The sequence below is a fragment of the Homo sapiens genome, chromosome 2 (assembly GCF_000001405.40).
Source record: "Homo sapiens chromosome 2, GRCh38.p14 Primary Assembly".
NCBI lineage: Eukaryota > Metazoa > Chordata > Mammalia > Primates > Hominidae > Homo > Homo sapiens.
Genome location: NC_000002.12, coordinates 70,985,691 through 71,003,268, shown reverse-complemented (window position 1 = coordinate 71,003,268; position 17,578 = coordinate 70,985,691). Strand labels below are relative to the sequence as shown.

Genomic DNA, 17,578 nt, shown 5'->3' with positions numbered 1-17,578 from the left:
GAGTTCAAGACCAGCCTGGGAAACATGGCAAAATCTTGTCTTTATGAAAAAATACAAAAATCAGCCAGGCATGGTGGCATACTCCTGTAGTCCCAGCTTCTCAGGAGGCTGAGGTAGGAGAATCACCTGAGCCTGGGAATGTCAACACTGCAGTGAGCCGTGATCATGCTACTGCGCTCCAGCCTGGGTGACAGAGCGACTCTGTCTCAATAATAATAATAATAATAATAATAATAATAATATCTACTTTATAGAATTATTGTGGGTGTTAAACAAGAGAGTGTATAAAGGACCTAACCCAGTCCCTGGCAAAAGACATGTCCAACAAATATCATCTATTTATAATAAATTATATTAGATATATAGGCTTTTTCTGGCAGTCCCAAGTGTGGAAACTGGACCAATCTGTTTAGTGTAAGGAAAAATTTCCTCACAGATCGTGGGGTAGTGAATTGCCATGGTATTCAAATATAGGCTGATGTAGGGCCTGGTTGTGAAGTGGAATGTAGAGCTAGCATCCTCCTCATCCAGAAATTTCTTTTTTCATTTGTTTGTTTTTTTGAGACATGGTCTTGCTCTGTCGCCCTGGCTGGAGAAGTTGCTCAGGCTGGCAGAAGTTTCTTAGTTCTCTGATACATTCAATGTCATCCTCTTCTCTTTGTTTCTTTCTTTTTTCTGAGGAGAGGAGCCAGCTTGTCAGAGAGAGCTGCACCTTTTCTTCTCATCAGGAATTCCTGTCATGGGAGGACCCCCTGGAGCTGCTTGGATAAAGACAGAGAGACACTTCAGCCGAGATTCCAGTGATCCGCGTTATGCTAATGACAGGAGTGACCGTGAATGGCTTTCTGCTGTCCTGGCTAATGGGGCTGCCTCAGGAGAGGAGCTGCTAGCCCAGGGAGGCTGGACTTTCATCAGCCAGCTGCCCGCCTCCCTGCGCCCCAGGCTATGGGACTAGAGCAGCCCTGCTCAGGGGCTCTGCTGCATGTGTGTGCATGCATGTGTGTGTGTGTGTGCATGTGTGTGTGTGCTTCCCTCCCCACCCGTTCCTTCTTGTCGTTCCCCAGCCCCACCCCTTCACCCCCGCCCCACCCCCTGCCCTTTATCCTCTAGTGGTTTAGCTGAAGACAATGCTGAGGCAATTAATAGTGCCCTTTGAGGACTTGTCACTAGGAAGCTCTTTAATCCAGCCACCTGAGTTGGGGCCGCAGGCATGTGACAGGGATGGGGGGGTGCCAGGACTGTGTGGCAGCTGCTTGGGTGAGGCACAGGCACCGTGTAGAAACCAGGTTGGGAGGCCTAGCTTCCCTAGACACATAGATTATGTGGACATAGCAGGGGTCATTGTTTTTCATTGTAGTTTGTCTCTCACTAGAATTTTGGTCTTGCTAGCCGGCTGCAGAACCAAGATCTTAGAGGTGGGGTGCCAAGCAACACACCTGCCAACTACAGGGGCCATCACAGGAAAAATTTCCCCCAGCATGTGGCACCTTAAAGAGGGGACATCGTGTGGTGGATGGCATGTGTTAGGGTGCAGTGGGGCGGGCGGTAACCTCTCTCCTCAGCTCTTCCTACCCCAAAGCTGTGCTCCTGGGAGGCCTGGGGAGCTGGTGGGGAAGGAGTTCAGGTCCAGGTAAGAGCCACACCGGGGGAGGAGAAGACTAGGCAGAGGGAGGGCCCTGGGCCTCCAGGCCTGTCTCTGCCATGTCTGATTTCACAGTGTCTCTCACAGTCTCTCACACAACAACCATCGTCTGTAGCCAGACCATGCCGGGGCAGCAGGAGCCCTGATGCCGAGGTGGACCCTGTCTACAATTTTGTGTACTGTGTGTGTGTGGTGGGTGGGTGTCGGCTGTGTGTACTCTCGGGGCCTGCCCACCTGGCCTTCATGAGTCGGGTAGTGGGGTCCCCACTGTCTCTCAAAACTGCTTTCCATAAGCGATGAACCTGGCTTCGGTCCTCGCCAGCTCCTCTGGTCGCCACTAGAGGGCAGCAGCCAACACAGCCCGGCAAGGGGAACTTTGGCGGCCGACTTCCGGCCGTACCGCCTCCTACTTCCACCTCCCCGCACCTTCCTAGCCCCTGGGGATGTGCAGGTCCCCAGCGTGTGGGTGGACCACTGGGACCACAGATCCTACTAAGGATGTCCTTGGCCTCAGGCATAGTGAATGTGTAAGTCTGTTAGAATGAGAAGGGGAGTGGGTGAAGACAGTGGAGGGGACCAGGGGTGGTCAAAGCCAGAACCCTGAGGTGTATTCATTTGTTCCTGCAAGGATAAAGGCAGGGGAGAAGAGGAAAAGCCCGGGGGACCAGGCAGCCTGCAGGGAGATGAGGCAGGACCCAGCCCACTGGCCAAATGGCACCTGATGACAAGGCAGGCAGAATCACCCTAACTGCAAAGTCAGGTGACTCAACTCAGAAAGACCAGAGAAAACCATGTGGACTCCGGAGCCAGCCTGCCCCGGTTTGACCCCTGGCTGCTTAAAATATTAGTGGTATGACTTTGGACAAGATATTGAACCTCTCCGTGCCTTGGTTTCTTAGCTGTGATGGAGACAGTAATAGTATCGCCTGTGCTAGATGTGTGTATTAAATAGGTTAGTACATACAAATCACATAGAGCAGTGTCTGACACAGAGAAAGAACACTATAAATGCTAGCAATTATTGCTTTCTGCACTTCATCTCAGCCAAAAACCTGAAAAGAAATTTGGTCTTTGTTTTCTGAAGCAGAGACACCTATTATGTTGAAATAACTAGTTTCCCCTAGAACCCTCTCATGAAATATACGGAGTTGGTCCTTCACCCTACAAACATTAAATGGTAACATTTGTGTGTGGTTTTTTTTTCTCTCTTTTTCTTTTTTTTCCCTTGAGATGGAGTTTCGCTCTTGTTGCCCAGGCTGTAGTGCAATGGCGCGATCTTGGCTCACCTCAACCTCTACCTCCTGGGTTCAAGTGATTCTCCTGCCTCAGCCTCCCGAGTACCTGGGATTACAGGCATGCGCCACCAAGCCGGCTAATTTTTTTAATTTTTAGTAGAGACGGGGGTTTCTCCATGTTGGTCAGGCTGGTCTCGAACTCCCGACCTCAGGTGATCCACCCGCCTCGGCCTCTCAAAGTGCTGGTATTACAGGAATGAGCTATCGTGCCCGGCCCTTGTGGGGTTTTTTGGAGACAAGGTCTCACTCTGTCACTCAGGCTGGAGGGCAGTGGTGCAAACATGGCTTATTGCAGGTTCAACCCCCTGGGCTCAAGGGATCCTCCCACCTGCACCTCTCAAGTAGCTAGGACCACAAGTGTGTGCCACCATGCCCAGCTAATTTTTTTTATTTCTTGTAGAGATGGGGTCCCACTATGTTTCCCAGGCTAGTCTTGAACTCCTGGGCTCAAGCAATCCTCCTGCTTCAGTGCCCAAATTGCTGGGATTACAGATGTGAGCCACCATGCCCGGCCACCTGTCAATATTTAAATCAACAAACTGGTCAGTCACCTTTGAACCTCCAAACCCTTTCACTCTTGAAATGAGTCCCTTGAATTGAGTGTGGGGACCTGCTATCCTTCCTTCCCTCCTTCAGGCAAGGCCTGGGTTTGCTCCCCTTGTAACTCCTTCCCCAAACACAGCCTAAGGATCCTCCCTGAGCCCCGCCCTGTCCTGTTGGGTCAGGTGGACCTGACTTCTCACCACTCTCAGGAAATGGTGGCCTCTCTCTTCCTGCCATCGGAGGAAATTTGAATCCTCAGCCTTACCTCTCTCAGGCTACTTTTGGCTTTAAAACTGTGGGAAGTGAAAGTGCCCAGCCCTGGAAAAACAAGGCTGGTTCAAAGGTGAAAGCACTTAACCTTTTGGGGCCTCCAGTTTCCCTTATCTACAATTCTGGAGAGGGATGGGGGATATTTTTATAGTTTCCTCCTTCCCTGGGAAGATGTTTAGGGAAAAAAAAATACCAATTGAGACTTTACTGGTTGGGTGTGGTGTCTCATGCTTGTAATCCCAGCACTTTGGGAGGCTGAGGCAGGTGGATCACTTGAGGCCAGCCTGGCCATCATGACAAAACTCCATCTCTACAAAAATATAAAAATTATCTGGGCATGGTGGTGAATGCCTGTAATACCAGCTGCTTGGGAGGCTGAGGCAGGAGAATTGCTTGAACCCGGGAAGCGGAGGTTGCAGTGAGCTGAGATTGTGCCACTGCACTCCAGCCTGGGCAACAGAGCAAGACTCCATGTCAAATAAGTAAATAAATGAGAGAGACAGAGAGAGAGAGAGAGAGTGAGAGAGAGATACTTTACTGTGCCGTTACTCACTGATGCTTCCGTGTCTCCAATACAAACTCCTCAATAGAAAAGATCTGGACATGAAGCTCCCCTATTGGAACAATCAGGGATGACCAAGTCCCATGACCTAAGGTTAGCAAACTTACCAGTAAGGCACAACTCAATGGTTTTTCCTCACATAGGGACTGGGTAACAACAGGAAATTGGAGACATCCTAGCAGGCCCATCATATTATGAACATTTTAATTGTAAACTTCATTTATGAATAGGTAACACCTTTCCATATCTTTACATAGTTCAATATTTTAAGGATATAAAAAGACATACAGTGGGAATGCTGTTTCCTACTCTGAAACCCCACCCCTTCTCTTCCTAGGAAGCAAGCAATATTACTGTTTTCTAACGTATCCTTCCAGAGATATTTTATAGAAAGAAATGTGTAGCCTGGGTGACGTGGCTCATGCCTGTATTACCAAAGTACTACTTTGGGAGGCTGTGGCAGGAGGATTGCTTGAGCCCAGGAGTTCAAGACCAGCCTGGACAGCATAATGAGACCTCATCTGTACAAAAAATAAAAATAAAAAAATCAGCCAGGTGTTATGGCATGCACTTGTAGTCCCAGCTACTTGAGAGGCTGAAGTGGGAGGATGTCTTGAGCCCTGTGGGTTGAGGGTGCAGTGAGCCATGATCTTGTCACTGTGCTCCAGCCTGGGTGACAGAGTGAGACCCTGTCCCTCCCTGCAAAAAATGTGTATATAGATTCTTTTCCCCATTCTTTTGCTTTTTTTCAAAAATAGTCCTATATAGGTACATAAAGAACACCCTCATTGGCTTTTAGGGCTAAATATACTTAACCAGTTTCCTATCAATGAACACTTAGGTTGTTTTCAGTCTCTTACAGTGCTGCAATGAAAAGCCTTGTAAATAAGCATATGGTGAGGCCGGGTGCAGTGGCTCATAACTGTAATCCCAGTACTTTGGGAGGCCAAGGTGTGTGGGTTACTTGAGGTCAGGAGTTTGAGACCAGCCTCGCCAACATGGCGAAATCCCATCTCTACAAAAATACAAAAATTAGCTGGATGTGGTGGTGGGCACCTGTAATCCCAACTGCTCAGGAGGCTGGGGCAGGAGAATCGGTTGAACCCAGGAGGCAGAGGTTGCAGTGAGCTGAAATCGTGCCACTGCACTCCAGCCTGGGCAACAGAACAAGACTCCATCTCAAAAAAAAAAAAAAAAAGGATATAGCCCTTTAAGGTCTCACTCTGTCACCCAGGCTGGAGTGCAGTGGTGTGATCCTGGTTCACTGCAACCTTGAACTCCCAGGCTCAAGCGATCTCCCACCTCAGACTCCTGAGTAGCCAGGACTACCGGCACCATTGCACCTGGATAACTTCTAAATTTTTTGTAGAGATGGGGTCTCACTTTGTTGTCTAGGTCAATCTTGAACTCCTAGGCTCAAGTAATTCTCCTGCCTAGGCCTCCCAAAGTGCTAGGATTATAGGCGTGAGCCACCCCACCATGCCCCATATACATATCTCTCAGGTATTCTTAACTGGGGGTCCAGGGACCCCTTAGAAGTCAGCAGGTATAGAATTTAGGGAGACAATTTTAAGACGCCTGGAAACTTGGAAGGAGAAAAGTTTCTATTTTTATCTATAACTCTCTCATATGATTAATGATATCTTGAAATATCATTTACCCTCACTCCTACTTTGTCATTGTGGTAGGTAGCTATTAGATTTTGCAATAGGTCTGCTTATGTCATATATTAATAGAGAAGCACATAAATTACAGAATACATTTGGTTTTCTAAAAATAGTTTAATACTTGCATTTCTATATAATTGGTTTGCTTTGTAATCTTTTTTGTTTTATTTTTGTTTTTGTTTTTGTTTTGAGACGGAGTCTCCCTCTGTCCCCCAGGCTGGAGTGCAGTGACGCGATCTCGGCTCACTGCAAGCTCCGCCTCCCGGGTTCACGCCATTCTCCTGCCTCAGCCTCCTGAGTAGCTGGGACTACAGGCGCCCGCCACCATGCCCGGCTAATTTTTTTTTTTGTATTTTTTAGTGGAGACAGAGTTTCACCGTGTTAGCCAGGATGGTCTCAATCTCCTGACCTCGTGATCCTCCCGCCTCGGCCTCCCAAAGTGCTGGGATTACAGGCGTGAGCCACCGCGCCCGGCAACTGCAATTTTTTTTTTTTTTGAGACAAGTTTTCATTCTGTCATCCCAGCTGGAATGCAGTGGCCCAATCATAGCTCACTGCAGCCGCCATCTCCTGGACTCAAGTAATCCTCCTGCCTCAGCCCAGAGTAACTGCGACTACAGGTACGCACCACCATGCCTGGCCATTTTAAAATTTTTCTTTGCCCAGGCTGGTCTTGAACTCCTGGCCTCAAGTGATCCTCCTACCTCAGCCTCCCAAAGTACTGGGATTACAGGCATGAGCCACTGTGCCCAGCCTGCTTTGTAATCTTTTTTTTTTTTTTTTTCTTGAGACGGAGTCTCGCTCTGTCGCCCAGGCTGGAGTGCAGTGGCGCAATCTCGGCTCACTGCAACTTCTGCCTCCCGGGTTCACGCTCTTCTCCTGCCTCAGTTTCTTGAGTAGCTGGGACTACAGGCGCCCGCCACCAAGCCCGGCTAATTTTTTGTATTTTTAGTAGAGACTGGGTTTCACCGTGTTAGCCAGGATGGGCTTTGTAATCTTATGTATTTTGTTGGGGGGAGGGGGAAGCTATGCATAACATAAAATTGACCGTTTTAACCATTTTACAATTCTGTAACACTGTATACAATTCAGTGACATTAAGCACATTCACACTGTTGTGATGCCATCAGCACCATCCATCTTCCCAAACTGAAACCCTGTATCCATTAAAAAGTAACTCCCCATTCTTTGTCCCCCAGACCCTGGCAAGCACCATTTAACTTTCTGCCCATGATTTTGACTACTCTGGGTACCTCATATGAGGGGAATCATACAATGTGTGTCCTTCCCTATTTGGCTTATTTCACTTAGCATCATGCCTTCAAGGTTCATTGATGTTGTAGCATGTGTCAGAATTTCACTTCATTTTAAGGCTAGATAATATTCCATTGTATGTTTATAGCACTTTATGTCTATCTTTTCGTCAACCGATGGACATTTGGGTTGCTTCCCTCTTCTGACCATTGTGAATAATGCTATGAATATTGGTATACAAATGTCTCTGCTTTCTCAGTTCTTTTGGGTATATACCCAGAAGTAGAATTGCTAAATCATACGGTAATTGTTTTTTTTAGGAATACGTATTTTTATGCAGGAAAAATATGATTCTGAAATAAGCCTACTAGACTCTTGTTCTACATACTTTATTTTGCATGCCTGTCTCCGCCACTAGATGGGAGACTTGTTGACAAGGACTAACCGGTTCCAGGTGCCCCTCAGGAACCCTCCCAGAGGTGTAGTAAATGCATCCAGCGCCTAGCGGACGCCCTGCGTGCCCGGCAAGGGGTGAGGTGCAGGCGATACAAAGGTGCAGAATGTACCCCAAAAGAACAGCCTAGAGGGGAATTAGGCCGGAGGATGACCGATTAAAATCACCCCAACTCCTGATTGTGCCGCTTCCTAGGTGCATGACCCAGGGCAACTTCCTTTGGCCCCGGCTTCCCCGTCTATAAAATGATTTACATTATCTGCTCAAATTTCCGACAAGAACACACCTCGCCTTTATCACAGAGCGTGGCACATATTAGGAATTCAATAATTTTGTCCCTATCACCTGCGATAGCAAGAGACAGACTTGTCCGCAACCTGCCGGGAGGCAGGTTCTGGGGAGGTTGCTGGGGCGCGGTCGGGCGGCCCTGTCCGGCCCTGGACCACCTCCAGGCTGGTACGGGAGTGCACAGGGAGGGACTGGAGGCTGCACTCCGAGCCCCAGTATGGGCGCTTGGTCGTCTCCGCCCCTGGGCACCGTCCCGCCTCCCTCTGGCTGCAGCGGTCTGCATTCATTCCCCTCAGTGGAGCGGGGGATCCTGGCGGGGCAGCGGCGGTTGGCCCTCCTCTCCGGCGGGCGGCGCTAGCGCGAGCCTGGCCCCGGGCAGCGCTAGGGCCGGGCTCCTCTCGGCGGCGGCGCACCGTCGTCCTGTCGTCCGCGGGGCGGGGACGCGGCGGCGGCGGCGGCGGTGGCGGCTGTGTGTCGCCGGAGCCGAAGCGCGCAGGCCCGTCCCGGTGGCCGGGGAGCGGGCGGGTGGGGGCGCCATGTGGTTCATGTACCTGCTGAGCTGGCTGTCGCTCTTCATCCAGGTGGCCTTCATCACGCTGGCTGTCGGTGAGACTGCACGACCCCGGCCCGCGCGGGCTCCCGCCCCGGCATCGGTGCTCGTTGGGGGTCGCATCGCGGGGGTTTCGGAGCCACTCGGGGGACCACTGCCCGGCGCTCCCGGCCTTCGCCGCCCCAACCCCTTCCCGCCTGATCCTGCCCCTCCTGTCGAGCCTGGCAGCCCGGCCTGACCGTGGCTCCTTCCAGGTGTCACAGAGTCCGCTCCGGCACTGCCCGAGAAAGGGTGACTCGAGTGCCGCCCCCGCGTCTGCGGACCGCTAACCGCTGCGGCTCCCACTCTTCGCGGGCCTGCCGCGCGGAACTTTTCCCCAACGCCTACCGCCGCCTTTGCGCCTCTGGCCCTTCATGCTCCCTGCTCTCTCCACCTTTGACACTTCTCCTCTGGCTGGTTCCCATTCGGCCTCAGTTGAGATGTCATCTTTTCCGGGAAGTCCACAGGGGTTGATGGTCCAGCAGTGCCCTGTCCTTTCCCTAAAGTAGCATTTCTCACACTAAACTCGTCTGTCTCTCCCTACTGTTCCCCTTCCCTTTCCCAAGCTGGGTCAGGGAAGGACCCTTGTCTGTCTTTTTCAGCTGTATTCTCAGCCCAGGGACCTGGCTCATGCCAAGTGCCCAGCAGGTGTTTATTGAATACGTGAAATTCCGTTTTCTGAGCCAGAGGTTATCATTGTACTGTGGCATCAAATGCAGACTTTCGTTGATTTTTATGAGATTTGTCCTTAGTTGCCCTAAGAAAGTTTTACTTCTCCAGACTTGGAAGGGCAACACATGGGATGTTTGGTTTGTTCTTGACCTTCTGGGGTCCATGAAGGGTGGATGGGGACTGGGCTGCAGAGAGAGGGGTGACCAGGATGGTGGGAGTGACCCTGGCTGATAGTCTCCCTGCCTCCCACCCTGCAGCGGCTGGACTCTATTACCTGGCAGAACTGATAGAAGAATACACAGTGGCCACCAGCAGGATCATAAAATACATGATCTGGGTAAGTGGCATCTTTCTCCAGGAGTCCTCCTCACTCTTTTGCCCTGCCTCAAAAGCAGGAAGTGGGGAGAGTTTGGCATGGATGATGAGGCCTGTGTCTCTGCTGTTTCCTGAGCATACACTCTTACCTCCTTGCCCTGAACGCTGTCTTTTGGGTCTGCACTCCTGGGCCCAGATCTTCCCTGGCCGCCTTCCCCAAGTGGCATTGTTTCACTGCAGGCCTTGTGCTCTAGTCCTTAAGGTGACAGCGAAGTGTACTTCTCTGTTGACAAGACCGTAGATTTGACTTTGCTTAGCTCTCTCCCGCTGTCTTTAGCCCTTTGCTCTGCTCACAGCATTTAAAACTTAGAGGAGCCATAAGACAGTTTTGCATATATGTTCATTGCCATCTTTCTAATCGGATCAAGTGATTTGTCCTAAGATCGGCACAGCTTCGCTGCCCTCGCCCTTCCCTGGTCTCATGGGAGGCTTCTCTTACTGAAGACACAGTCCTTGCCACTGATATCAAAGCCATAGGGGTGACTGCTGGTGGACAGACTTCCTTCAGCTGCAGGAAAGGCTGGGGGTAGGGGTGCCATTGGAGAGAAAGCGTCCACAGCCCCTCAAGTCGCCTGGTGTCAGCAGCCATGTGCACTCTGGGCATGGCTGAGGTTGGGAGTTCACAGTGGAGGCAAGACTATAGCCCTCAGCTCTGGTCCAGAGGCCCAGCTTGTGGGTGTTGGCACAGTAATTAGCCCTTCATTCAGCCAACTGTCATTTGCTAAGCACTGACAACTGTAGGTACTTATCAGTAGTGTTTTTCAAACTGTAGGCATGATTCATTATTTGGCTGTATAGTAGGTCACAATCAGCATTTTTTAAAAAAAGGAACATAAATAGAATTGAAATTTGAGCTTTGAATCATATATATGTATATATGTGTTGGGGTCACAGTGTAAAATGTTTTTCTTTTTCTTTTTTTTTTTTTGAGATGGAGTTTCGCTCTTATTACCCAGGCTGGAGTGCAGTGGCACAATCTCAGCTCACCGCAACCTCTGCCTCCTGGGTTCAAGCGATTCTCCTGCCTCAGCCTCCCGAGTAGCTGGGATTATAGGCATGTGCCACCATGCCTGGCTAATTTTGTATTTTTAGTAGAGATGGGGTTTCTCCATGTTGGTCAGGCTGGTCACAAACTCCCAACCTCAGGTGATCTGCCTGCCTTGGCCTCCCAAAGTGTTGGGATTCCAGGCGTGAGCCACCTCGCCTGGCAGATGTTTTTCTTACTGTGGGTTGCTGTCAAAAAGTTTGAGAAATGGGCTGGGTGCGGTGGCTCACACCTGTAATCCCAGCACTTTGGGAGGCCATCAGAAGTTTGAGACCAGCCTGGCCAACATGGCAAAACCCTGTCTCTACTAAAGACACAAAAATTAGCTGGGCGTGGTTGTGCATGCCTGTAGTCCCAACTACTCAGGAGGCTGAGGCAAGAGAATTGCTTGAATCCAGGAGATCGCGCCACTGCACTCCAGCCTGGATGACAGAGTGAGACTCCGTCTCAAAAAAAAAAAAAAAAATGTTGCCTTTTGGGAGCAGAGAACCTAGCTGGGGAGGCCAGACCTGTGAAATGAGGAGATTGAAGCATGAACCTAGTGCTGCCCAGAGCGGGCTGGGGGTTGGTGAGTCCAGGAACGTTGCCTGGAAGAAGCGCCCTGCACTGTCTGCCTCTGGTTGTTTCAGTTCTCCACCGCTGTACTGATTGGCCTCTACGTCTTTGAGCGCTTCCCCACCAGCATGATTGGAGTGGGCCTATTCACCAACCTCGTCTACTTTGGCCTCCTCCAGACCTTCCCCTTCATCATGCTGACCTCGCCTAACTTCATCCTGTCGTGTGGTGAGAGGGGACAGAGTTGGGGAGGCAGCTGATGTGGTTGGGTGTGCCCATCTCCATCCTGGGCACTAAAGGGGATACAGAAAAAGGAAGCCAGCTGTTGAAGTCCTCCAGGAAGCCAGGCTAGTTGGGAAGATGCGGTTCTTACTGCTGAGGACTCTAGAGCCCACCTTGGCTCTAGTGAATAGAATTTGTTGGGGCTGGGGACTCAGACAGGGAGGGCTTTCCCAGAGAGGTAAGTTTGAAGGAGAGTTTGGGAAAGAAGAGGTTGTGGATTGGCTGAGGCAGGGCCCCCAACTGAGCAGTTCCAGCCTCAAAAAAACCACTTGGCCAGAAAAAGCCCAAAGCCCTTCCGGTAGGCAGGCAGCTGTCCGTCCAGTCCTCTGACCCAAAGTCATTGTTAGGACTGGAGCCTCATGGGGCTGTGAGCACCTTGCAGACTCTGGCCTGGTGTGAATGCCTCCTGGGGGCTGCAGCTTCTCATCTCATTCTCACTGGCTGCCGCTGCCTCGGGCTTGAGCCTGGATGTGGAGGACCCAGTCTTCTTGGCGTTGCCCTGCCACCACTTTCTGACCCTGGGGAATCATTGGCCCTCTCTGGGCCTTAGCTTCTCCATCTATTCAGAGAGGATGTTTCTGAAAGAACTATTGGGAGACTCAGTGGGCATATAGTAGGTGCATATAGGTATTTACAGATATTCCTGGAAAAGGCTTCGGAAAGTATTTTGGTTGCCAAGATTGCCATTGCTCCTGTTCATCATTGCTGGCTACCCTAGCTTTCAGTCAGGGTATCAGATGGAGTTAGGGGTTTTTTAGAGTGACTTTTCTATTTCTATGAGAGAGCCTGGAGGGTGAATATTATCCACACAAAGGGCATATTGTTAAAGCCAAAACTGGTTTCTTCCTTGGGTGTGATTTCACCAAAGAATTTGTTCAGCAGAGGTTTGTTAGGGAGCCCTTCCATGGAGACCAGGCCCCTCTGTCCAGGGAAGAAGTCCTGCCCCCAGCCCCTCAGCAGCAGGCTCCCCTGACTTCACTCCCTTGATCTGCCCTTTAATGCCTAAAAGAGTTTTTCCAAAAGATCTTGTGGGCACCAGGCACTATCCTACCTCCCATTATCTCTTAGCCCTAGAGTGTGGCTAGGCATAGCAGAACTGTAGTCTTTGCCTTAGAATGGGAGAGGCAGGAGAGAAGAAAGGAGACATGAGAATTGCTGTGAGGTGTGTGTGAGGGGACAGTCAGTTTCAGGGGACATGTTCTTTCTGGTGCCTGCCCTTCACCTCACCATGGGAACCGGCAGGGATGACTGTCTCTTGAGCAGCCTGTGTCCAGGATATGCACACGTGCCCTCTTTTATAAACTCAGTTACACACCAAGGAGGGGTGGCTGTGTGTGTGTGTGTGTCCAGAACGTATCAGTTCACACCGGTATGCCTTACCTGGGGGCAGGATGAGGAGGGACCCCCTCCCCCAGAATGTTGAGGAACCTGAAGACTGCACCTCAAAGCATCTAGCAAGTCTTGCCCTTTTATTCCTGAGGAGTGAGAGCCTTTTTATTTGAGCAGGCCTTCTCCTTGCTGCCCAGTTTGTTTATTTGAGCAGGCCTTCTCCTTGCTGCGAGTTTGGAGTAGAGCCTCTTAGGGGCGTCTGGTCTGCACACCCATGATTTCTCCCCACCTGTCACTGTGGGAGAGCTTTCTTTAGCCCTCACATCCACGAAAAACGAGGTTCATCGTCATGATGCTTTGGATTATGTAACATAGAAGTCTCACTTTTATAACATGCAAAGAGCCTTCTTCTAATTTTACTCAGAATGCCCTGTGCAGTGGGCAGGTTGAGGCTCATTCTCCCATTTTAGCAGATGGGAAACGGTTCTAGGCAGTAGCCTACTCTGAGTTGAGTGTAAAGTCAGGCCTAAGACTCCATGGAGGCTCCCAACTTCTGAGGGCCTTTTGAAGTTAAAAGTACAGCTTTCTGTTATTCCCCTTAAACTGACTGACTCTTCATTCCCTCAACAGGACTAGTGGTGGTGAATCATTACCTAGCATTTCAGTTTTTTGCAGAAGAATATTATCCCTTCTCAGAGGTAAGAAGTGTCCAGCACATTCAGCTGTTAACAGGGACAGGGTAGTAAAAGGGAACTTGCATGGTTTACTTTATAAACTTAGCTATGATTTGAAACTGAATCTGTTCAAGGATTACATGTTTGAAAAAAACAAAACATAGATGGTTTGAGAAAGCTGTGTGGATGGGGACAGACTGTGCTCATTTGGCCGAGGTGGGGAGGACACTGCTCTTCCTCAGTGAGTCCTTTGGGTCCCCCTCGAGGGGTCATCCTGAGGTCAGGAAGGGGTACTAGGGTGACCTTCTCTGACACAGTCCTCACAGGGCAGGGATGGACTGCACCCCTGAGCCCCAGCTTTTCCCAGTGGCCGCCAAGGTTTTCTTCTCCCACGATTTCTCCACACCCTGCTGCTCCAGTTTGAACCTCTGGGAAGAGCAAGGTCACTTCTTTGGGGGGTGTGGGTCAGTCAGTCATGGCTTAGCACTTTGTCTGCCTCCTTCAGTCCAGGGGAGTTGCTTGTCCTAGCGACCAAGATATGGGGTTTGTGGCCACATTCAGTCATTTTCAGCCTCCACCTTTCCCCACAGAAGGATTTCCATGTCTGAGGGTGGCGTTCCCTGCTTCCCAGGCCTGGGCCCCCTTTGGAGATCAGGTGTGGCCCCCTGTGCACTCTTGACCAACACGCAGTCACCACACCCAGCCCACTCTTGGCACCTCCGGGGCACCCTCTTCTCAGTCTCTCTTGTTGCCAGGTCCTGGCCTATTTCACTTTCTGCCTGTGGATAATTCCGTTTGCGTTTTTTGTGTCACTTTCGGCCGGGGAGAACGTCCTGCCCTCTACCATGCAGCCAGGAGGTGAGAAGGGATTTGTAAGGGGCCCAGGTGGGGGCAAGCCAGCAAGGCCTGGGTTGGCAGGGGTCCACTGAGGGAACCTGAATCTAGCCCTGTGTTGGAGACACCTGGACTCGGGGTTGGGAGGGCCGTGTTCACACACATGCGCACACACACACACACACTCTCTCTCTCTCTCATATTCTTGCCTGTATCTCCACAGATGATGTCGTCTCCAATTATTTCACCAAAGGCAAGCGGGGCAAACGCTTAGGGATCCTGGTTGTCTTCTCCTTCATCAAAGAGGCCATTCTACCCAGTCGTCAGAAGATATACTGACCCCCATGCAGGCAGGATGTGGGGGGCAAGATCAGGAGAGTCAGGCCCCTGGGCCTCTATGCCAGGTGGGGACCAGAAGTCGGGAAGGCACCTACCACCTGCCCTGGCTTTCTTCCCCTCAACTCTGGAGCCCCATCCCCACCCTCCTTGGGGGGCTCAGCTTGGCTCAGATCTGATGCTTCAAGAGGCTGTAACCTCAGAGGGCACCAAGGAGGGTGGCAGAGCCTGCTTAGCCAGGAGGCCGAGGTCCCTCAGTCCTCCCCTGTCCCTTCCAAGGTGGGTCAGGAGGTTCTGGCCCCGCTGGGGCAGGCAGGGCAGGGTCTGTGAAGCTTAAGAGCAGATGGTGACAAGTTCTCTGGGCAGGTGGCCATGGGGAGGGGCCATGGCTTGGCATGTCCAACAGAAATAGTTTTTGCTGTTGAACGGTGATTTCTGTCCAAGTGCAGATTTCCGTTTGAATAAAGCTTCGCTTCTAGGTGGCACTGTTTGCCTTAATACCCTGACAGTTCATCTTCCTTTCTTCCTGCTAACCTTCTGCTCTGGACTGGACTCACTTTTCTGCTCCAGGGACTCCTTTTCTGGGTTTGGGTCTTGCCCTTCCCAAGGGACTGTTCTTGTGGCCCTTAATGGGAAGGGGGCAGGGGTGAGGAGCTGAGCCTGCTCAAGGAGTGGGAAGTGGGGCTATAGGCAGCCTCTCTGATGCACTCTCTTCCATCTCTTTCCCCAAGGCTCCGTGACTGTCAAACTGGGAGTAGGAGAGGGGACAATTTAGGACTGGGCTAGATTTTCAGAAGAACATCTACAATATCCTATTTATAAATCTTCCTCTGGGAAAAGGAGTGGTTTCTGGCTGAATACTATCTTAGGCTCAAGGAGAAACAAAATAAAAATTAGCTTCCAGGCAGCCTGTTTTTAAAGAAATGGGACTAATGGGAGAAGCTGTTTGTCACTCTAAGAGCATCCAAGCCCTGGCCCGTCTGTGCACTCTTGGCTCCTGGGGAGATATATCTGCCTTCTAAGAAGGCAGGCCAGGTCTTGGGCACAGACCTGCATTTGTTGACCTTGCACTCCAACTATAGTGCCTTGCAAGTGCTCAACAGTACATATTGGAATGAAGTCCCTATGAGAGCCATTTCTGGCCATGTTCTATACCTCAAAGTGAGGCTGGCAGGTACAGAGATGAACTGTACACATGTGATACATTTAAGCCACTGGAAAAACCCCTGTGCTTGAAAATATTTCCTCTATATCATGCCTGGAGTTCCATCATAGCCCTTCATTTCCTTGGCTTTAGCATTTACCTTCTCTTAAGAATACCAGCTTTCCCCTTTCCCTGAGAGGAAGAGCACATGTTGGTCTCCTCTTAGTGTGAACGAGATTGCCAGGCCCTTTTCTCCTATGCACACCAGGATAGACAAGGCAGGGGATACTGGCAGCCTGCATCATCCTCCCATTGGGCTGACAGCTGGCCCTACTTTCCTCCCTCTGCTGCTTGGTCCCTCACCTTGATGATGTGGCTTCGCCCCCTCCACTCTACTGCCAGTGTTCTCCCAGGGCTTGCTAAATCCAGCAGACCCCTTTCCTGTCTTACTAGATCTGGGCAGCATTTGACATGGCTGATCACCCCTTGCTTCTTGGATGGCACTTCCCTGGCACCTCTGTGGCTAGTTGTCCTACCTCCCTGGCTGTTCCTTTCAGGCTTCCGTGCAGGCTTCTCCACTTGCCCATGCACAGTAGGGTCTTTCAGGGTTCTGCTGTGGGCTCCCTAGGGAAGCCCATCCATCTGGATGGTTTCAAGGATGGTGAGGAATTTAGAGTTGACCTCCAGCCCCAACATCCTTCCTGATCACCTGAACCACAGTTTTGCTGCCCTCTAGGTGCACAGACAATTCAGGTCCATGGCCCAGATGGTACTTGCTGTCTTCTGCAAACCTGCCCCTTCTGGGTACTTCCCTTGACCCCGAGATCACTCAGGAGCCAGACAGGAAACTTATTCTATTCCTGTTTTCTCTTTCTGCCCACCACATCCAATCTCTCAAAACGGTCAGGTCTACCTTAACATCTCTTGATTTGAGCCACTCCCACTGTCATCAGCTTTCACCTGGATTATCGTGACAGCCTCCTACTGCTTCTCTATCATGTGGCCAGAGCTATCTTCCTAAAATGCATTGCATAGTTGATCAAGTCACTCTCTGGCCTAAAACCTTCCTTGGCTCCCTGCTGCCCTCAGGATAAAGTCTGGACCCCTCAGCATGGCTTGTGAGACTCATGGTGTCCTTGTCCCTGCTCACCTCTCTGGTCTCATCACTTGCCTTCTTGCATTCTGGGTCCCAGCCTCCTGTATCCAGAGATGCAGTGGCTCTCCATTGCCACTCTGATTCCTCCTTTCTTTTGGTCACAGAGAAAGGGTACTTTCTCTGTCAAATCTCAACTTAGACTTGACTTCCTCCAAGGAGCTTTGGCTATACTCTCTCCTCCCGACCCCCACCCTGGCATACTACACAGATCACTCTGGGCTCACTTGCCTGCCTAATGGTCATCTCCCCAGTAGACTGTAAGCTCCTTGAGGGCAAGGATTGTGTTGGAATTTTTGTATTAACAGTGCCTGGCTTGGTGCCTGGCACCTAGAAAGCACTCAATAAATGTTTGTTTAATGAATGAATTGTAGTGATGTGTACAAGGGGATACAGGGAAGCCAGTTAACTTCCTGGAGGAAGTACAAGTGCTTTCATAGACTCGAATGGAAACCACACATCCCTCCCCTCCCTTGATGTACTGCCCATGCCTCCCTGAACTGCAGAAACCTCAGTAGCCGCTGGGAATAAGGATGGCAGCCCAGAGTAGCAGGGAAGCCCATGCCAGGGGGACATATTAGTTGCCCTCCACCCCATTCTGGGTCTCAGCTTAGA

General features: G+C 50.8%; 1 protein-coding gene and 1 long non-coding RNA gene across 2 annotated transcripts, besides 4 other annotated features; one reads left to right on the top strand and one right to left on the bottom strand.

Annotated features, from left to right (window-relative positions):
• Window positions 1–334: 334 nt before the first annotated feature.
• LOC105374796 (uncharacterized) lies at window positions 335–2,011 on the bottom strand. The gene is made up of 2 exons (XR_940232.3): window positions 1,877–2,011; window positions 335–758 (listed from the first exon to the last, which is right to left on the bottom strand). It is a non-coding gene; the product is annotated as an uncharacterized LOC105374796 (long non-coding RNA).
• Window positions 1,509–2,461: an enhancer, noted in NCBI's record as "H3K27ac-H3K4me1 hESC enhancer chr2:71227938-71228890 (GRCh37/hg19 assembly coordinates)". NCBI's record gives its function as "activates a minimal SCP1, AML or CMV promoter by ChIP-STARR-seq in naive H9 embryonic stem cells {active_cell/tissue: H9 hESC(naive)}" and the evidence as "EXISTENCE:reporter gene assay evidence [ECO:0000049][PMID:30033119]".
• Window positions 7,585–7,634: an enhancer, noted in NCBI's record as "active region_16010". NCBI's record gives its function as "activates an Ori minimal core promoter by ATAC-STARR-seq in GM12878 lymphoblastoid cells {active_cell/tissue: GM12878}" and the evidence as "EXISTENCE:reporter gene assay evidence [ECO:0000049][PMID:35858748]".
• Window positions 8,175–8,704: a silencer, noted in NCBI's record as "silent region_11618". NCBI's record gives its function as "represses an Ori minimal core promoter by ATAC-STARR-seq in GM12878 lymphoblastoid cells {active_cell/tissue: GM12878}" and the evidence as "EXISTENCE:reporter gene assay evidence [ECO:0000049][PMID:35858748]".
• Window positions 8,396–17,327, top strand: TEX261 (testis expressed 261). The gene is made up of 6 exons (NM_144582.3): window positions 8,396–8,581; window positions 9,494–9,573; window positions 11,286–11,439; window positions 13,453–13,520; window positions 14,252–14,354; window positions 14,554–17,327. Exons 1-6 carry the CDS (start codon window positions 8,512–8,514, stop codon window positions 14,667–14,669), a joined length of 591 nt encoding a protein of 196 aa, NP_653183.2. The 5' UTR covers window positions 8,396–8,511; the 3' UTR covers window positions 14,670–17,327.
• Window positions 8,735–8,824: a silencer, noted in NCBI's record as "silent region_11617". NCBI's record gives its function as "represses an Ori minimal core promoter by ATAC-STARR-seq in GM12878 lymphoblastoid cells {active_cell/tissue: GM12878}" and the evidence as "EXISTENCE:reporter gene assay evidence [ECO:0000049][PMID:35858748]".
• Window positions 17,328–17,578: the final 251 nt, after the last annotated feature.